The sequence below is a fragment of the Homo sapiens genome, chromosome 7 (genome assembly GCF_000001405.40).
Source record: "Homo sapiens chromosome 7, GRCh38.p14 Primary Assembly".
In the NCBI taxonomy this organism is placed as follows: Eukaryota; Metazoa; Chordata; class Mammalia; order Primates; family Hominidae; genus Homo; species Homo sapiens.
In genome coordinates this window covers 38,370,659-38,392,246 of record NC_000007.14, presented here as the reverse complement: position 1 = coordinate 38,392,246, position 21,588 = coordinate 38,370,659, and the positions used below count along the sequence as shown (strand labels likewise).

Here is a 21,588-nt window from a genome sequence, read left to right as displayed (position 1 = left end):
CCTGGCTATTCAAGGATCCAGAAATTAATTCCACTAAGGGTTTAGGCCTCAGGAGGAACAGAAGGAGGCTGTGTGGCACAGCGGAAGGCCCAGACCTGAGTCTGGCTAGTGGGGAAGTATGGAAGTGGCAGCCCCAGCTTTGGGCTGGGGGCTAAGGCAGGTTGTGCAGGACAAGGAGGTTCTGTTTTCCAGGCCCTGCCGGGCATCGCCACGGTTTTTCTTCCCCCAGGAGAAGGTCATTCCTTCGGTGGTCATAGAGCCTGCCTCCAACCATGAAGAGGAAGGAGAAAACGAAATAACTATAGGTGCAGAGCCCAAGGAGACCACCGAGGACGCGGCTCCTCCGGGCCCCACCAGCGAGACACCGGAGCTGGCTACGGAGCAGAAGCCTATCCAGGACCCTCAGCCCACGCCTTCTGCACCAGCCATGGGGGCTGCTGACCAGCTAGCATCTGCAAGGGAGGCCTCTCAGGAATTGCCTCCTGGCTTTCTCTACAAGGTATTCTTATTTTTTAAGTCTCATTTATCCTTTTTTTGCTTTAAGGCCCTTTTGCTCAAGCCTTTGGTTTTCCAGTTTTTACTTTTACTTTTTGCAATTATTATTTCTGTGAACTGCTTTCCCTTCACCACAACATCACTTGGACAAGCCAGGACTACAGTAATAGATTTTCATGTTTTAACAAAGAATAATTAAAGGGAAGTTCACCACAGGGCAAACAGTATGCCCCTGGGTAATGAATGGGAGAGTCTTTTCCAGCCCTCCCTCCTCTCTACTCCCCCAGGTGCCTGTGAATCTGTGGAGCCTGGCTCAGACCAGGCCTTGGAATCACCAAGAGCTCCTGACTCGGCTATATCCCCTGGGGGTCGGGCAGCAATCCTTCAGTCAACTCTGGCACCTTGTAGGGTGCATGACACAGAGTAGGGAGCCCATAAATATTTGGTAAATTAATGGATTCATGTATGAATGAACTTGCACCAAAAGGCAGAAAAAAAAGGCGGCTAAGTTAATGGGAAGAAGGTTTTGCTCAGACAGGCTACTTAGAGCCTTCATAAACCAAAGGGTTCTTACCAAAAAAACTTAGTAAATACCTAAAAACACTGGCTTAACCTAAGTGTTTCCTGTCTCAGATGTTTCCTGATAGAATCTGAAAAGGAATTTTAAGTTTTTAAATTTGATTTTACATTTAAAAATCAGCTCTTTTTCTTCTAAAGTGTAAAATGTTGTATCATTCTCTCTCTCTCTCTCTCTCTCTCTCTCTCTCTCTCTCTCTCTCTCTCTCTCTCTGTCTTTGTCTCTCTCCATTAGAAAGTAACTGCTACCTTGCTACCTCTTGTGGGGACAGGGGTGGCTATAATGGATTTATGAATAAATTAATTTGGAGGAAAAGCTAAACCTCTAGATAAGGGGTTGTTTCCTGCCAGGTTCCGTTTTAACTGGAGCACAAGCAGTCCAAGAAGCCTTGTGCCAAGCACGGCTGGAGCTTGCTGGGCCCATTCTGGCCTCCTCACTAACTGTAGAATAACCTAAGGCACCCCATATAGACCCTCTCTCTGGGTATCAGTTTTCCAATCAGAAAAATTAATTTAGGGATAACATAATCCATTTCCAGCTCTGACAGCTTGTGATTCTATGAATATGCTCAATGGCAAAATACACACTTTAAAAGCCAATGTTTACTCTCAGGGGTGGAGTTGAGGGAAAGGTGGGAAAAATAAAATCAGCCATGACAGTAGAGTGATTCAGACTGGGTGACAGACGCATAGGGGTTCATTATGTTATTTCTTCTGCTTTAAAATATTTTTCTATAATAAAATTTTAAGGAAATCTTTTTCAAAATGGGAAAGGAAAAGAAACTGGTTGCCATTGTATATAAGGTAGGATAGGGAAGGAAGGAAATATATTTACACAGAATTGATCACAGAGTTTTATTTAGTAGTAATTACTGTATAACCTGCAAGTGGTGGTTTTCCTTATTATTATTTGACAGAAGCTGGGGTTAGAGGAGCTTTAGACATTTTGGGTTCCAGTTAAACAACAAACAGTAATAAAGCATCAGCGATAATAAAATGCAAATCTCTAACAAAAATAAGATGAATTAAAATTTGATTAATATAGTGCTTTTCCCTGTTGTAGAGGGCATTGCATTACTATTAATAAATATACATATGAATGGCCTCATATCAGAGAATAGGACTTCCCTTCTGGCTTTAGAGGCCTTCTTCCTCCTTGGGATATGGCAAATATCTTCCTCTTTTCATCCAGGTTGGAGAGTGACTTGTAAGAGTGTCTGCTTGAAATCTGGCTGGGAAATTGATTTTTATGTATTCTTATCTTCTGCAGGTGGAAACACTGCATGATTTTGAGGCAGCAAATTCTGATGAACTTACCTTACAAAGGGGTGATGTGGTGCTGGTGGTCCCCTCAGATTCAGAAGCTGATCAGGTAAAAGAAAAGATAGGAAGATGCTTTGGGCTACGTTGATTTTTTTCTGAGGGTCTGTTGGACACAATCACTTCCTAAAGATGTTTCTATTTTCTGAGATGCTACAAGCCATCTGAAAAGGGCTTAAGGGCTTGTGACAGCATAGATCATTAACGAGGTTTCTAGGACACCCTTTTGGGATGCTGTTGCATTCTTTTTTTATATAATACAAACAGTTGACTGTTTCTTATCACGTAACCACTTTCTGGGAATGTTATCTCTGTAACACCTGTCTTCAGGAAATGCAGACACTATGAATGTGAACTAAAAGACCCCTTCAAAAGTGGTTGCCTCTGGGTGTGTGGATATTGATGAGGAAAGAACCTGGGGAACCCTCTGGAGTGATGGAAATGCTTTGTATCTTGAGAGGGATGTCTGCATGTATTTGTCAAAACTCATTGAACTATATATACCTAATCATCTCTGCATTACACAGTATTTAAGTTATACCTCAACTTAAAGAGATTCTTTAAAAATATCACTTCCTAAAAGAGTGGTCTGATGTAAGGTACTGAGAACTCCCATCTTGTTCTCATTCATAAAATATGTGAGCCCTTGAAATGGTATGCAGAGCAAGTAAATGCATCTGTAAACATATTTTTCTGGAGAGAAAAACTCTAACTTCCATACTATTCTCAAAGAGATTTATGAGCTCTCCCCTTAAAAAATAAATTCAAGCATCACTGCCTTTGAGGTTAAGACTTAATATGTTCAACATTTTGTTCTTTCTTTTGACAACACACTTACCAAGATACATCAGGTGTTGGGTCAAGCAGTCTCTACCACAATAAAATAGATTGGAAATTTATATAACAATAATCTGCTGGGCAGGGTGGCTCATGCCTGTAATCCCAGGACTTTGGGAGGCCAAGGCAGGAGGATCACTTGAGGCCAGGAGTTCCAGACCAGCCTGGTCAACATAGCAAGACCTCATCTCTACAAAAAATTTTTTTTTTAATTAGCTGGGTGCAGCAGTGTGCACCTGTAGTCCTAGCTACTCAAAAAGCTGACATGGGAGGATCACTTGAGCCCAGGAATTCAAGGCTGCAGTGAGCCATGATCACACCACTGCACTCCAGCCTGGGTAACAGAGCAAGACCCCGTCTCAAAAAACAAAAAATTAATAACAATAATATATCTTTAAAAGCCCCCAAAGATTTAAAAATTTTAAAATACACTTCTAAATAACCCATGGGTCAAATAAATCATAGTGTGAGTTAAAAAAAAATTTCATAATGATCATTAAATAGAAATTAAATAGAAAAATGCATAGAAGGAAGAAAATAATAAAAATAAATTCACAAATGAATGCAATAAAGGACTATAACAGATAAAATTGATAAAGCCGAAAGTAGGTTTTTGAGAGGATTAACAAAATTATTAAAACCTTAGAAATACTCAAGAAAGAAAAGTCACAAAGCATAAATTACCAATACAAAGAAAAGGTGTCAGCATCACACATCTCAAAGATATTAAAAATCCCATTTATAATGGGATTTTTGTCTGCATTAACCAGAAGTTATTTTGTAAAGAAATAAAAGGAAAAAAAGTTAGTCTTTTATGTTTACCACCATGTTTACCATTTCCAGGTCTTCATTCTTTCCTTAAGTCCGAGTTTCTATCTGGTCTTAATTTCCTTTCTGCTTAAAGAACTTCCTTTAGCTATTTCTGAAGTGCTAGTCTGCTGGCAGCAAATCTTCTTGGCTTCTGTATATCTGAAAATGTCTTTATTATTCTTAATTTTTAACAATACTTTCACTAAGGTAGAAATCTGAGTTGATTTTTTTTTCTTTCAACTCTTTAAACATGTTTCATTGTTTTCTGGTCTCTATTGTTTATAATTAGAAATCAGCTGTCATTTGTTTAATATTGCTTCTCTGTATGCAAAGTGACTTTCCCTGACTACTTTTAATAAATTTCGCTGTATCTTTGATTTTCATCAGTTTAAATATATTGTGCTTGGGTAGGTTTTTTTTTTTTATGGTCTTCATACTTGAAAATCACTGAGATCCTTAGACTTGTAACCTAATGTTTTTCACTACATTTGCTTTTTATCTTTAATTTTTTTCTGAATTATTCTCTTTGTTCTTTTTTTCTGGGTTTCTAATTATACTTAAGTTGGACTTCTTGATAGCTAAGATGCTGTTCTTTTTCTTTCACTATTTCTCTCTGGTAGTCAGGTTGGATAATTTCTATTGATCTGCCTTCAAGTGCTATGAGTGTTTCCTCTGCTACTTTGAGTTCGTAGTTAAATTTATCCAGTGACTTTTTCATCTCAGATATTAGATTCTTACAATTCTTCATTTCCATATTGTTATTTCATATGGGTTTCCATTTCTTGGCTGAGATTTCCCACTTATAGTCTTTCATTATTACTGTCTCTCAATTTATATACTTGAACAAATTTATAATAGCTGCCTTAAATTTCTTACTGCTAATTCCAACAGCTGGGCCATCTCAGGGCATATTTCTATTGTTTGCTTTTTAATCTTTTGGTCATATTTTCCTGTTTTTCCATGTCTAATAATTTTTTAATTGATACTAGACATAGTAGGTAGACCATACGTGGTAAAGAGTCTGACTCTGTTTTCTATATCTGAAAATTGCTTATTTTTGTTTTAGCAGACATATAAATTACTGGATAATTCCCTTGAATTGATGGGAGTTGGTTTTATACTTTGTTAGGGTGGGTCTGTACCCTTTATGCATGCACAGCTTGGGGGTCAGCCCAGGATTTCAAGGCAGTTTATCCACATACGTTAGGATACCCATCCCCCAGTGATTCCTTTCTTTTCAAGATAACCCCCCTGAGTGTACAGCTTCTCTGGGAGCCTTACACTCTATGCTGTGAATGCCCCACATCACACTGAGTGAGGATAATCCTCAGGGGAAAAGCTGTATCAGCATAGATCTCACCCCTTGCAGTTCTCTACTTTCAAGGGTCAAATACTTTCTAATTTCTGCCTCCTTTTGGTCATTTCCAGCATCTTCAAATAGTTTTACCCATTATTTATACCCATCCCATTATATATAAATTTACACTTTATATATTGTATAACCAAGAGTTGTTTGTTTATATAAATAGTTGCATATGTGTATATATAGATATTTGGAGATATATAGTTATTCCAATGTTTTTAATTATTCTCTCCAGAAGGAGTTGTCTAATACAAGCCATTCTACCATTACCAAGACAGGAAATCTTTTTCTACCACATATTTTAAGCAGTTAATATTTAATTTTTTATATTTTCCTCAGCTAAAGATTGATGTTGGCTAATATTCTTTACAAGTTGTCTTTCAGATTATATGTGTTGGAATATATCTTGATTGTGGGTTTGTGTAGTCCTTTACTTGTTTTCTTTATTGAAACAATTTTTAAGTGCTTAACTCTACTTGGCTCCATTAGATTTTTCACCTACTGTAAATAAAGTCAAATATAGACACTTGTGGGGGAAAAATGACCTTTTATATGCTTTCTAGAGCTTCAGAAAATATTTAGCTATCATCTTTTATTTTAAGCATAGCTTTGTCCTTCACATATATGACATCATAATTTTAAAGAGGGCACTTTTCCTCATCAGCTAGGATATTATCAGTTATTTTATTGAGTCGTTTTTTTCCTCAGCGGTTTTTTTCCTGCCTTCAAAAATTGGGCTGTCTAAATACTTATATTTCTTGTCTATATGGCAGCATCAATTTAGAGTCTCAGATTATATCAAAAGGGAATGAATTCAGCTTCTTCATTTAATTTTTGAGGCCTCATTTTATCTGATATACTTGAACTATGTTGGGGGTTTGTTCAGACTAAACCTGGCCATCCCTCATCTGAACTGGAATTTCCTTTCTGCACTGGTTAACATAATAAAGATAGTCATTTCCCACTCCTTGCACTTCCTATGGTCTCATTTCCCACTGTTCCTTTCAACACAGCTTTTCCAGCTAGACTCTGCTTAACTTCAGGAAGCCAAGGGCAGACCACAGCCTCTGTTTCTCAGTTTTAAGTATCATCTCCCATTCTGCATGACCATATATGGATGGGTTCTTTACCCTTTCTGGGGCAAACTGTTTCATTTTTGTGATGGCACTTCTATATGACAGACAAATGTTTATGAGGAATAATTTATAAAGGATATAGGAGCGCTTCCAGCAAGAATGCCATGACATCCAACTGCTTTGTAGTTTATATAAACTTGAAAAATTAGGTATTATAAAAACAAAAATAGTAATATAAGGCAACACACATCTAGCTTTTAGTATTTGATGAGCCCTACATCTACATAGGTAGTTTATTGGGGTTATAGGATATGAGCTGGGGGTCAGAGTTCTTTCTTATGAGCAAGTGGCTTGGGATGAAATATAAGATATTCCATGGCCTCATCAGTATTCCATTCTAACCCAAGCAACCTCAAACCTTTTTTACACTGTGACCCCAGAACAGGTCATGCTCTTGTGCATGAAATGCTTTCACATGGTATTCCTGTCTTTGCACTGGTTGTAATTGTAATCCTTTTCTCCTCTTTAAGAACTCATATTATAATCCAGTTAATATCAATTAACTATGCTTTGTACAGTCACAATGTACAAAGCATTAGCTATACTTTATACAGTCAATAAGTCATTGCAAATGTTTATTCCTTCTTTTTCTTTTTCTTTTTTTTTTTAACTAACAACTTATTTGGGATAGGCCTTCCCATTGATCACGGCACAGCACTTTACCTGTAATGTGACATCCTGGTTCAGAACCACAACACTAATGTAACACATTATTAATTAATTGTGGCAGTGTGGATTTTCCAGTAGTTTGCTGGACCCTGAAAGTTCTGTCATTGTTTTTCAGGATGCAGGCTGGCTGGTGGGAGTGAAGGAATCAGACTGGCTTCAGTACAGAGACCTTGCCACCTACAAAGGCCTCTTTCCAGAGAACTTCACCCGACGCTTAGATTAGGGCAACAAGTACTGCAAGAAGGAGCTCAGTTACGGGGTTTTTAAACCTTCATGAAAACCTGAAGAGTTCACTTTTGTTATTATGCTCTTAATGATTTACAGACTGATGCCAGACAAACCTTGGGAAGATGTATCAATGGAGCATGTGTGCAAAAAAATGTAAGAGGAAAAAAAGTAAATTAAGGAAAAAATCCTCACTCATTCCCATGTTGTCAATAACAGGTTTGTTTGTGCTTTGTCCAAGCTGTGGAGACTCTTGTACTTGATCCCCTCCCACCAATTCTAAAGTAGCTTTCTCCAGATCAGACTTTAATTTCTCTGCATCAGGTGTATCGTATTGAGTGGCTGCCCTGCAGAAGATGTGATGAATTATCCTGTAGTACAAGATTATCTTATTCCCCTGCCCAGGTGTGAGCACGTGCTCTCGCTCCCTTTCAGGTTTACTATGTTTAAAACTAAACTGCTGCAAAAGTTCTCAATGTTCTTTTCCAACACATCTATATATATATGGACACACAGTCACGCAAGCTAGTTCCCATGACTCCTGGATCTATGTGTATGCAGAAGGCTACATATACATAGTTGCTTCTTTCCTTTCCATTGTAGCTCTTTGCCTCTCAATTGTCATTGATACATGCATTGCTCTTATTCTGTCTGGCATTACAATTGCAGTTTTGCCTAATGGCAAAACCAGCCATCCCATTGGCAAAAGAGTCAACAGTATCTGTGTTTGTACTGTGCAGTTTTCAGGATGAGATGACAGATAGCACGACTACACTGAGGCACCCTCAGAGAAGGCAGGGCCTGATTTATCTAGCTGTCCAGCCGCTGTGGCTGGAGGTAGGCTAGTTGGGATGGGCAGCTAAGCAGTCTTCTCTTCTGCCTTTATGAGATTGGGTAGAAAGATGGGGCATATTCATCTACCCCCAAAAGAACACTATAAAAACAGCTCCTCTATATTTCCACCTCTTTCTATTTATGCAACTCATCTTCACAGATTGTTCTAAAGTAAAATAGATGGTGTATGCTGTATCCACAAATCATCTGTAACAATTATGTTTTCAGTGCTGTGTCATTCCAAATAAACCTTTGGTAATCTTCAACGATTACCCTAATTCCTTTTGATGAGTCTTTTTTTTTTTTTTTTTGGAAATTTTGTTCCAGTCGGATACTCTGCTTGAAACAGTTGGTATTGGAGTTGTTATTTGTGCAGAAATATGCTTGTTCTTCCACTAGGTTGCACTCCACGCCCCCACCGCACCTCCCCACTTCTTTCATTCCAGTCATTGCTGGTCACTCGGTGTTCCCTGACATCCAGCAATTACTGCAGCACCAATAACAGCTGCCAACGGAGAGCCCTTAAAGGTGCCGGCTGTAGACTCCCAGTCCGTGAATCACTGATAATCTTACGACCTTCATAATCAGCAATTTCTTCTCACACCAGCTTCATTTTCTGGTCACTTTCCTTTTTGGCATGTTTATGTTCGTAGGTACATAAAAATTAGATCAGTTGGAATAGAAAAGTGAATTCACTTGGCCATTATTTCCAAAAGAGAATTCTTAACGCAAATCCTTTTAGTTGATTTGGACTCTTTTCTGCTAATATAATTCTTTATACAACATAGGCTGATCAAGAATGTATATTATTAGACTTTTAGATTTAGTATGTATTCCTGATTCATGGTTTGAATCTTCCTGGTGTATTACTGACTTTGTTGTTTTAAGTGTGAATAGGGAAATAACTGTTTTTGAGCCAAGATTTTTCCAGGGGCTAATATACAGAGAAGCTGGGTCATCATGAATGCTATTCTAGTGCAAGAAAAGCAAATGTCACTGCCCAGGAGCATGACTGATAATTCAGCAAGTGGAATGCAGCAATGTAAGATTCGTAATAGAAAGCCACTCCTGACAGTAGAGTACACACAGGATGTTAAAAGCCAAGACTGAAAAATTCGCTCTAATAATAAAATGCACCTAATGTTCTGCAAAGATAATTGGCTTGCCACATCTCCTGGAGCAGAAGATGTGATGAATCATTCTTAAATTCCTTTCACCCTCCTGCCCACAGTGGCTGCTCACAGTGTACAGTTTGCCAGGACATGGCCCAGATAACTGTAGCCCTAGATGAATGTTCCTAGATGAATGTAACAAGTTCTTCTGAAATGACGTGATTTTAATTAGCTATTTAGTCCTGTTTTTTAAAATGCCTTTGGATTTTTTTTTACACTAAATAAGAGTTATCAGATTTTTTGTTTGTTTGTTTCAGGAATTGCCAAAATCCAAGAATTCCTAATGCATTGAAAATGAAGGAGATGGAGGGGATGGGCGTGTGGTGGTGGCATTCCCCAGAAATGTCCTTGAATGTGGAGTGAACATTGTTTTCCATTTCAGTGGATTTTCTAAGGAATGTTAGTTTCAAGGACTTTCTGGGATTACTAGTGTAAAGTTCTTTCCACTTCTCTTTCTCAGTTATTCCGTTCAAGTTCTCACACCACCAACCCATCCTAGGCACATCACCCAGTCATATAATGGCAAGTTTGTATTGTATCCCAAATGGCCTTGAACCAGGCCTTGGTCCTTTCATTTTTTTTTTTTTTAAACGGAGTCTTGCTCTGTTGCCCAGGCTGGAGTGCAGTGGCGTGATCTCGGCTCACTGCAAGCTCCGCCTCCCGGGTTCACACCATTCTCCTGCCTCAGCCTCCCAAGTAGCTGGGAGTACAGGTGCCCGCCACCGCACCCGGCTAATTTTTTTTGTATTTTTTAGTAGAGATGGGGTTTCACTGTGTTAGCCAGGATGATCTCGATCTCCTGACCACATGATCTGCCCACCTCAGCCTCCCAAAGTGCTGGAATTACAGGCGTGAGCCACCACACCCAGTCAGGCCTTGGTCCTTTCTGAGCTTCCTCTCCATGATTTAAGATTCTTCTTAGAAACCCAATGTCATGCAGACCTTCAAATAGTTATGAGTCAGAACTGTTTGGAAAGAAAGCCAGTAGTTCTTATTAAACATACACCTACCTGGCATTCCTACCAATATGACAAATAGTCACTCATGTAAACCTGTGTGATGCATATAATTGCAAAGTAAAATTGCCTGGCAATTTGAATTTTTTTTTTTTGAGACAGAGTCTCGCTCTGTCGCCAGACTGGAGTGCAGTAGAATGATCTCAGCCTACTGCAACCTCTGCCTCCCAGGTTCAAGCAATTCTCCTGCCTCAGCCTCCCAAATAGCTGGGACTACGGGTGCGTGCCACCATGCCTGGCTGATTTTTGTATTTTTAGTAGAGACAGGGTTTCACCATGTTGGCCAGGATGGTCTTGATAACTTGACCTAGTGATCCATCGGCCTCAGCCTCCCAAAGTGCTAGGATTACAGGTGTGAGCCACCGCACCTGGCCAGCAATTTCAATTTTTAACACTATCTCAGGGTAGCCAGGGCCCCTGGGACAGGTAAAAGCTCCCATACCATGCTGTTGCATTGCTTCCACCACGCCTGCTCTTCCTGACAAAGCTGGGGTGGCTTTGGAGTCAGCCAGAAAACCATATCCATCACATCTTAGGCTGCCCAGTGGAGTGTGCACGTTTAGAATTCTGAGCCCTCTTTTCTTACATAAAGAAGCCTCTAACCAGGTCATTGGAACAATCCCAGCATGACCCCATGGCCCATTCAGATGGCCCATTAAAGAAAATGCCTTCGGGAAACTACAAAAGTTATGAGAACTCAATGAGTTTAAAGATGGCGGAAGCTCAGTGCTTTATTCCATGCAAAATTGCATGGCTGAACACCTTGAAGCCTTAGAAATAGACTGGCCAATGGATTGGCCTTGATAGGACTCTACTCCTCTTTTCAAAGGAGCCCAACTAACAGCTGCCTTCTGGTTTTTACTTGGAACTCAACTAAAAACCTTACAAACGTGTCAGAACTTGGAGATGAGCAGATCGCACAGCTTTTCTACACAGTGCTGTAGCTACCGTCTTCCTGGTGTGAGACTTTCCTAGGACTTCAGTAAATGGAATCGGACATTTGGTAACAGCACAGAGAAGACAATGACCAATATTCTCTTGGAAGACTTAGAAAATGGAGATCCAGGTGGTTTTGTTCATCTTTGAGCCCTGCAGGTGCATCCCTGTTTGATGATGATCCTGTCCTGAATCACCAGGAGGAGACCGCCTGGATGTTCACGGGCAGCGTTCTTCAAGGCACACAGTAGGGGGTTGATAAGTTGTTCATAAAGCCAAATAAACCATGCGCGAATAAGCTTAATATTCCATCCAAATATTTTGTGACTCATTGGTAATACCTTTTAAGGATCACTTAACAAGCAGCAGCAAATAGTGACTTTTTCCACTTAAAAGATATTTGAGACATAACCCTTACATCTATGCAAATTGAGAGGAAGGCCAGGTAGGTACCCTGAAGCTCTTTCCAAAGAAATCTAAATTTTATCTTTGTTTCCTAAAATCCAGTTAATTCCCAGTCCCCCCGATCTCAGGTCAAACACTCAGGTTGTTTGATTCTTGAGGGTTGGGTCAGAATTGCATGCTTATTTCCCTCCCTGCTGCACTCTGATGCCCTGTAAAACCAGTCCAGCCCAGGAGTGCCTTGTCCATACGCACCTTGCCACATGGCTGATACCCTACACCCTCTCCCACCAGTAAATATTAAACTCTGTGTCATTATGCTCTGCTCTCCAAAACCCTACCAGTGATCACAAAGTGCTGTCTGTGGCATTTGGAGATGCCACCAAACTTCCAATTCTCCCCCAAGATTCCAAGATACGAACTTTCCTTGTTTTCTTACCTCTCTTGTTGTTCCTTCTCTGTTACTGTTCCTAATTTTTTTTCCTCCTTCCTGTGGTTGCTGGAAGTGGGGTGGGGCAATAGCGACCTGTCCTTCAATTTGTGTTCCAGTTGTCCAAGGAATGTTGCCTTTGGAGTGTCCAATTATTGCTTCCAAGTCCACATGTTCATTTGTTCATTAAAATATATCAAGCACCAGCTAAGTGTCAGTTACTGTACATGGGGACCGCATTCATAAGATTTAGACTTCACGCTTGAGGGACTTCCTTCCAAACCCCTCCATGGTGCGTCACTGAGGGGCTCCTCCATTCTTCAGAATCTTGGGCCTGAAGACTTGGGAGCTTCCTTTGTGCATCATTTTCCAGATTTGGGGCACCTGCTATGATTTCCCTGCAAAACATACAACCTTGCACTTTAATCTAGTCGGGGTTCTGTTCTTCACACTGACAGAGAAGACAAATTGGATCCTTGTTGTCTCCCTTGCCACCTGACTTCTTGTCTTCCTCGTACCCTACTGCCCACCCATTTTAAGTACCCAACAGGTCCCCACTCCCTCCTCGCCTCTCCCTCTCAGAAACACATACACAAATGATGAATATCTGCTGCATGTCATACCAGATCCAGGAGCCTCTGCTTGGTCTTCAGAGCTGAACTTCACCTCTTCCCCAGTATTCATCCACTGCCTGCTTCAGAGGCGTCTCCTCAGCACCCCACCCGCCTTCTCCCCCTCAGCTATACACCTTTCTTGCCGTTTTGCAAAACCCCTCTCCTGGGATGCCTTCCCCTCTCCTGTTGGCCTCTAATCCCATCCCCCAGGCGTAGTCCAAGCCCTGTATCCTCAAAATCCCCCGTCCTCTCATCCTTCTACATTCTTTCCACATTTAGAGTAAATATGATACTCCCTAGCCCTTCATTTCCCCTACCAAGAGGCACACTGTCTCCAACCTTCTCTGCATGCTGTATTCACTTCTGGATCTTGTATACTTGTGTGCTGAGTGAACGAACAAGAGGCTGATTGAACGATTAGTTCAGGGAAGTCCAGAAACCCTAATCCCAGGATCAACATGGAATAAAATTTGAAACTGAGTGTGAGAAGAAAATGCAAAATACTTCTGTGATATTGGAGAGGGGAAAGTTTTCTTAAATGAGACTCGGAAACACCCAAAGTATATGGGCAAAAAAAAAAAAAAAAAAAGAGTTTGACTCCAAAATTAAGAATTTATATTTAATGAAAAGATATTTGAGATAGTTAGTTGGTAGACAGATGATAGACTTGCCTAAGATATTTGTACCATCCCAAATTCACAAAGGATAAATGTCTAAAGTACACAAGGATCTCATTCAAGTCAAGAATAAATGAATAATTACTATTATTAGTTTGTTTATATCATTTATATTTATTTATATTTATAATATGGCAATAGTTAATATAATAATAACATTCGTTGACTGTCGTTTGCCATGCATTGCATGTATTATTTTATGTAATCTTTACAAATCTATGAGGTAGTTGCTGTTTTTACTTATTACAGGCAGGGAAGCTAAGATAGAGTTACATGAGGAAGCTTTCTCAAAGTCACACAGTCAATAAATGGCAGGGCCAGGCTGTGCCCCAGGCAGGCTGGCTCTAACATAAGTCCTAACTCCAGCCTCCTTGTTGGTATGTTTAGAGGACATGAAAGGTAATTCACACTTCAGTGAATACTAAGTATAAAAAAGAACCTCAGCTTCCTAATAATCAGACCTGTGCCATTTTTTTTGTTTTTGTTTTTAAGACAGGTTCTCTGTTGCCCAGGCTAGAGTGCAGTGGTGCGATCTTGGCTCACTGCAGCTTCTGCCTCCTGGGTTCAAGCAATTCTCCTGCCTCAGCCACCAAGTAGCTGGTATTACAGGTGTGTGCCACCATGCCCAGCTAATTTTTGTATTTTTACTAGAGACAGGGTTTCTACTAAAGGCCTAATTTTGTATTTTTAGTAGAGATGGGGTAGCTTGATAGCTATCATATTGGCAAAAAATAAATAAATAAAGTTTCTGATAACACCATAGCACTGGTAGCATTTAGTGAAGATGTGAGTGTGTGTTCCCCCTGACCAGCAATGCTGGGAGGAACTTCCCAGGGAAAGGCTTGCACGAGGAATAAGAGGACCCTGTGAGGGGTCCATCACAGCTCCCTGCTGATAGCAACATGCCCATGTTTGGGGGAATGGATGGATGGAATGCAGGGGCTGCCAGCTGTGGAGCGGTGAGCAGCAGAAAGGAGCATGAATGAGGGGCATGAGCTGGTGTGCAGACGTGGATAGGTAGAAATGGCATGCCATTTACATGGATGAAAAACACAGTATTTATGAACAATTCTATATACAGTCATGCATTGCTTGACAATGAGGAAGCATTCTGAGAAATGTGTCCTTAGGCGATTTCATCCTTGTGTGAACATTGTAGAATGCAACGTTGTAGAACACAAACCCAGATGGCACAGCCTACTACACAGAGGCTATAGGTGTAGCCTGTTGTTTCTAGGTTACAAAGCTGTGCAGCATGTTACTGTACTGAGTGCTGCAGGCAACTGTAACACATTGGTAAGTATGTGTGTATCCAAATATATCTAGACAGAGACAACCTACAGTAAAAATAGGATATAAAATTTTAAGTACTGTAACACCTGTATAGGGGAGTTACCATGAATGGAGCTTGCAGGTCTGGAAGCTACTCTGGGTGAGTGAGTCAATGAGTGAGTGGTGAGAGGATGTGAAGACCTAGGACGTTCCTGTACACTCCTGTAGACTATAAACACTGGACACTTAGGCTACACTAAATTGATCAAAACATACATTTCTTTCTTCATTAATAAATTAGCTTTTGCTGACTGTAACTTTTTTACTTTAGCAACTTTTATTTTTTAACTTTTTGACTCCTAACAACACTTAGCTTAAAACACAAACAGGCCAGGCCCTGTAGTTCACGCCTGTAACCCCACCACTTTGGGAGGCCAAGGCGGGTGGATCACCAGGTCAGGAGTTCAAGACCAGCCTGGCCAAGATGGTGAAAATCTCCACAAAAAATACAAAAATTAGCCAGGCATGGTGGCACTTGCCGGTAGTCCCAGCCACTCAGGAGGCTGAGGCAGAAGAGTCGCTTGACCCCAGGAGGCAGAGGTTGCAGTGAGCCGAGATCACACCACTGCACTCCAGCTGGGCGACAGAGCAAGACTCCGTCTCAAAAAAAAAAAAGAAAAAGGAAAAGAAAAACAAAAAAAAATTATACAGCTGTACAAAATATTTTCTTTATATCCTTATTCTATAAACTGTTTTCTATTTTTAACATTTTCACTTTTAAAACATTTTTGCTAAAAATCAAGACACAGCCACACATTAGCCTAGGCCTACAGGGTCGAGATCTTCAATATCACTGTAGTCCAGCTCCACATCTTGTACCCACGGAGGGTCATCAGGGCAGTAACACACATGGAGCTGTCATCTCCTAGGACAACAGTGCCTTCTTCTGGAATTCCTACTGAAGGGCCTGCCTGAGGCTGTTTTACAGTTAACTTTTTTTTTTTTTACAAGTAGAAGTTGTACACTCTAAAATAATGATTAAAAAGTATAATATAGTAATTACATAAACCAGTAACATGGTCATTTATTATAATTTTCAAGTATGTACTGTGCGTAGCTGGATGTGCTAGACTTTTATACAACTGGCAGTACAGTAGGTTTGTGTACACCAGGGTCACCACAAATGAGAGTCGTGTTGTGATGTTATGATGGCTACGATGTCACTAGATGACAGGAATTTTTCTGCACCTCTATCATCTCATGGGACTGTGGTACATGCGGCCCATCGTTACTGAAATGTGATGAAGTGCATGACTCTAGTCTTCACAGATACGGAGGCTCTAAGGACAGATATCAAATACATTAGACTGGGCACCTATGGGGGAACAGGAATAGGGAATGAAGGAGAGAAAAGAGTAAAATAAAAAACAAACATGCAAAACTGTACATAACTGGCATGGATTAATGGTGATAATGTACCAGGCACTGAGAAATATGACAGAAAAATATGAGAATTAAGGTTTTAAAAAACAAGCAAAAAACAAGAAGATACCAAGCACTGATTTCAGGATAACTCCCTGAAGCCTCATATTTAAGCTTTGAGACTTAATTTTGGACAATCCAAAACAGTGGTTCCAATGAGTAAATCACAATTAGGGTAATCCAAAGAGCTCTCTTTCTTCAGTTGTCTGTGGAAAATGTGACATTTTCCTTCAGGTAAAATCCGTGTACACTGGCTGCCAGCACAGAGCCATCTGGCTGGCCTTGGCCGCTGGGCATTGGTCTTGGCTTTGTCCCACCCCCGCAGCAGCCTTCTTCTCCAGGATGGTCAAAGCTCACCCAGAGCAAAGATGCTCTGCACTCAGGAACACTGGATTCAGGCATTGATCCAAGCCCCCGTGCAGCTCTGTGATATAAAAATGAGAGGAGGGAGGAGAACTTGTCTTTTAGCCAAAACATTTTCTAAACCACAGGCAGTTACCATGTCCTTCAGAGTCAAGGCACATTAGGTACAAGGATTATTGATAATAATCCTTGTAATTTTTAAGACCACAAAACATTGAAACATTGAAAATTATAAATAGATAACATCAAAGCATGGTGGGAATTCTATTTTGTATGCATGTTTAGACTAAGGATCTTTTCTTTTTTTCCAGACTGGGCCAGAACCAAGTACCTGTAAGAATCAGCACAGTTCAGCCTTTTGTATCAATTGCAGTTGTGTCCATGTATGTGTGTGTGCATTCTTGGGTACATGTGCACACACCTGCATGTTACCTACACAAACCTCCGTGTTCCCATCCTTCTTAGGTGGGATTTTTGAACACTGCATTTACACTGGCCTGAAATAAGTTTGTTAAAGTCATCGGCCTCATGTAGTGGCCAGGCTGGGCTGCAAAGCCATTGGCTATCCAAACATTCAGAAGACCTTTAGGAATCAATGTTTTTGTTAAGGAGTCTATATAGAATAGGCTTTTCCTAGAGCAATGTTGAGTCAAGAGGAAGCAAATAACATGCATTATTGTTGGATCAAAATAAAAACTAGAAGCTTCCATTTTTCATTTCACCACACCTATTCCTTCAATATCCAGTTTATCAATTCAATTCAGAATCACAATTAGAACTAGAAGAGACCAAAAACATCACCCACTCCTCTGATTTTGAGGCGGGGGAAATGACAGCCCTGCAAGAAGGAGTCTCTTGCCTAAAACTATCAAGCACATAAGGTGTGCAGTTGGAACCTGCCTTGCATTTGGGGACCTTTCCATTCGTTATACGAAGTCTTTGCCATTCGTTGGGGTCTAATATTGGGGTAATATAACATGTATGGTATACCTCGAATGGCCAGGAGGGGGTGCTACAGGTTTGTACAAATAACTAAATGCAGTCAAAACACTACTTCTTTTAAAGCATGAAGCTGGGAGTTGAAATCAAATCGGAAATATAACATTTTGTATCAAAATGCAGCAGCTTCATGAAGACAGAAATTAATCCCTGAATCATAAACAGCCAAGCAGTTCCCTTATGGTACAGGCTCTGGAGACTTGTCTGTTTGGTTCAAATTCTTGGTGTGCTGTTTATTAGCTAGGTGACCTCGAGGAGTTATTTAACCTCTCTGTAAGCTTCAATTTCATCTGAAAAATGGGGATAAGTAACACCTATTTTCTGCTTGCAAGAAAAGAATAAATATATACAATGTTTGACACTCAAAGGGTATTTGCTATCATTTAATGGATCAAGAATTTCTGCTATGACTTTAAAAATTAGTCTTTTAATAAAAGGCCATTAACTATTTACTTAACAGTGCTAGAGGAAATTCCTATGACTTTTTGAGGTCCACCATAATTAACTGAATGAATACTATTCAACAGTATCTTAGGTTGTTTTCTTACTGGCAGCTGAGAGTGACCCTTGAGTTTCTAAAATCTTTCTGAAATTTTCTTCATGGTCTCTTATACTTTATAACTTAAAAAGAAATATATATAATATATATACATATGATATATGTATATATGTTATATAATTTATATATATATATATACACACACACACGAATATAAATGGCCGGTAGCCAGGATTTTGGAATTTGTTAGACTTCAGTTGAAATCCAGGCTCCATTATTTATTCGTCAAATGACCTCGAAGAGTTTAACCTTTTTAAGATTCCAACTCTCTCATCTGTGAAATGTGGTTGATTATATCTCCTTTGGAGTATTATTGTAAGAATTAAACTGTGGTAAAGACTAGCTTAGATATCATTTAGTTTAGAAATGAACAAGGTGGCACAACCCCTGGCCCCAGGAGATGAATGGTGTATCCAGGGTAAAGGTTATAATTGCCAAGTACAGTGACTTTCCCAAGGACATACAACCTCTAAGTGGCAGTGCTTGGACTTTTATTCTGTCTTTTCCAAAGCAATACATTCTTGAAACTAAAAGTTCTCAGGCCAGACTCTCCAAAGTGTCCCTATTTGGCAGCTCCATCTTGAGAAGTAACCTCTCCCTTCCGCACACTCTTCGTGGGATTGCATTGTTGGCTGCTCATCCTGGGCTGAGGCCCATGACCGGACCATTCCCAGGGCACCAGGCAGCCACAGGGCCTGTAAGAAGAGCAGGCAGGAAGTGAAGCTTTGGCTGAGGTTTCTGGGACACACTTAACTTCCCTGGAAACGATGCCTGACACCGCCTGGCCACAGCACTGGCAGGAGATGCTGCTGTCTTCTGGGAACATGCAGCGGCCAGTGAGCAGCACAGGACACAGGAACGTAAACTGGGGACCCTTCATCCATCCACTCTGGCTTCGTATCTTCTCCATTGTCCACTCCTATTTTAGCCCGGGATGATCAGTGATGATGTGCATGAGTTACTCATTCCCATCTATGCCCCAGCCCAGACTGAGCATATACAAACCCTGTTCTTTGCAGAATTTTTCATTTTTCCTTTTAATTTTCTATGGAAAGAATATATGTTATATAATTCAGCCTTATTGACACCCTTATAATAGCCTTCTAAACTACACACCTGATCATTTATCCCATCCAAATATACATATATTTGATACAGGGTCTCACTCTGTTGCCCAGGCTGGAGTGCGGTGGCACGATCACAGCTCACTACAGACTTGACCTCCCAGACTCAAGGGATCCTCCCACCTCAGCCTCCCAAGTAGTTGGGACTACAGGCGTGTGCCATCACGTGCAGCTAAATTTTTGTATTTTTTGTGGAGACTGGGTTTCACCATGTTGCTCAGGCTGGTCTGGAACTCCTGGGCTTAACTGATCTGCCTGCCTCGGCCTCCCACAGTGCCGGGATTACAGGCATGAGCCACCGTGCCCAGCCTCATTGATACACATTAAATGCCTACTACGTTCCAGGCCTTGTGCTGTGTGCTCTTGATACTGAGGTGTGTGCCCCCTTAAGCTCATTGAAAACACTATTGACCTGCGTCACTGCGGTCACAAAGTGATACAGAGAGCCCAGACAACCATTTAGAGGTGAGGAAATTCTAATAATTCATGGTAAGCAGATTGTTTCCCATAGTGTTGCTAGGGAACATCTCACAGCAGACTGAAATAGAAATACAAGCAATTGTCTGCGCACTAGAACTTTCTCCCCAAGGCAGTGCTATTTTTTTAAACAATTCTTCTATCATCATCATCATAATGCTGACCTCTTGATATGTAAAGGTACAATTACGAGGAGAAGCAGAAGAACATTTACATCTGTGAGTTTGCACCTCTCTCCCACCATAGTGAGCAGATCACACCCTCAGGACCCCAGAAGACTGGCAAGGAGGACTTGATAGAGACAAAAGGAGAGACACAAGAGGGGACAGAGTGTTCATATGAAGAGGGAGAGGGCATGATATAGAGACAGTGACGGCAACAGAAAGTAGAAAGTTGAAGAGGGACAGAGAGCAGAGTGGAAGTGAGAAGGAAAGAAAATGACTAGGACAGTGGCCATACAAGCAAAAAGAGCAAGAGACAGAGACACGTGGAGAGGTATAGTTCTCTATCATGGCGGGGGAGAGAGAGAGAAAACAGAGAAAGAAATACAAAACACAGAGAGAGGGTGAGAGACAAAGGGACAGAGAGACAGCGAGAGAGGGAGGGAAGATGGAGAGAGAGAAAACAACAGAGAAGAGAGAGAAACTGTGATATAAATATAGCGACAGGGACAGGGACAGTGATGGAGAGAGACAGAGAAATAGGGAAAGATACAAGAAGAGAGAACTGGAGTTAGGGGGAGAGATAGGGAGAGAGAGAGAACGATAGACCTGTGGAGACAGAAGCATACACGTGGACACACAGAGTGCGGCAGTGTTAGGAAGATAGAGATAAATATACAGAAATAATGGTAAATATTGAGATAGAAAAATATATATAAAGAGAAAAAACAAAGAAATATGCATATTTATATATTGTAAAAATATACATAAATGTATTTATACATGTATAATATGTTATATATAAAATATTATATATATTTCTATACAAAAAATTAGCCGGGTGTGGTGGCGGGCACCTGTAATCCCTGCTACTCGGGAGGCTGAGGTAGGAGAATGGCATGAACCAGGGAGGTGGAGCTTGCAGTGAGCCAAGATCGCGTCACTGCACTCCAGCCTGGGCGACAGAGCGAGATTCCGTCTCAAAAAAAAAAAATTATATGTATTTCTAGCTTTCCTTTTCTCTTCATATATTCTATCTGTCTGTCTGTCTATCCATACTATTGCCACAATAACGCCATGTAGCAAATATCCCAAACTCAGTGGCTTAGCACAATAATCATCTACAAATTCTTACAAATGCGTAGGTTTGCTAGACTGTTCTGCTGATCTAAACCAAGCTCATCTGATCTTGGCTGGGCTTGGCCACATGTCAGGCAGCTGCTGGGTTAGCTGGGAGGGGGACTGCCTGGTCAAAGTGCCTGGGTCTGAATAAATCAGCTCCACTACACACAGGGTTTCATCCTCCAACAGGCTAGCCTGGATTTGTTCTAATGACAATGACAGAAAGCAAAGAGCTAGCAGAAGCACATCAGGCCACTTGAAGCCTCAATTCAGAACTGGAGCCCTATGAGTTCTTCTTGTATTTAAAAAAAAAAAAAGGCGGGGGGCATAAACGGCGCCTCTTAATCGAAGGAGCTTTGACTTATCAAGAATGAGTTCCACTTCTGGAAAATTTGCAGTGAGCCCACACTGCCTTGTCTGGCTCACAAATGCAACTATGAACCCTGAATCTGAGGACTTTGAAAAATAAATGATAGCAAGTCAACTGGAGAAGGAAATCGGAAAGTGAAGCACTATG

General features: G+C 40.7%; 1 protein-coding gene and 1 long non-coding RNA gene across 8 annotated transcripts in view, besides 1 other annotated feature; one reads left to right on the top strand and one right to left on the bottom strand.

Annotated features, from left to right (window-relative positions):
* AMPH (amphiphysin) overlaps positions 1-8,543 on the top strand; it is a 247,670-nt gene extending 239,127 nt beyond the window's left edge. For all 7 annotated transcript variants that reach the window (XM_006715690.5, XM_011515271.4, XM_017011996.3 and 4 more), the window contains 3 exons: positions 230-499; positions 2,342-2,443; positions 7,322-8,543. In XM_006715690.5, the coding sequence (XP_006715753.1) occupies positions 230-499; positions 2,342-2,443; positions 7,322-7,429 (480 nt within the window). In that variant the 3' untranslated portion in view covers positions 7,430-8,543. The remainder of the gene's footprint in view (positions 1-229; positions 500-2,341; positions 2,444-7,321) is intronic.
* A 5,063-nt stretch (positions 8,544-13,606) lies between these two features.
* The window catches only part of TRG-AS1 (T cell receptor gamma locus antisense RNA 1), a 37,220-nt gene continuing 29,238 nt past the window's right edge, over positions 13,607-21,588 (bottom strand). The window contains exon 4 of the long non-coding RNA NR_040085.2: positions 13,607-16,690. This is a non-coding gene — a long non-coding RNA (T cell receptor gamma locus antisense RNA 1). The remainder of the gene's footprint in view (positions 16,691-21,588) is intronic.
* Positions 17,465-17,759: a silencer, noted in NCBI's record as "tiled region #15414; K562 Repressive non-DNase unmatched - State 12:CtcfO". NCBI's record gives its function as "represses a minimal TATA promoter and a strong SV40 promoter by Sharpr-MPRA in K562 cells {active_cell/tissue: K562}" and the evidence as "EXISTENCE:reporter gene assay evidence [ECO:0000049][PMID:27701403]".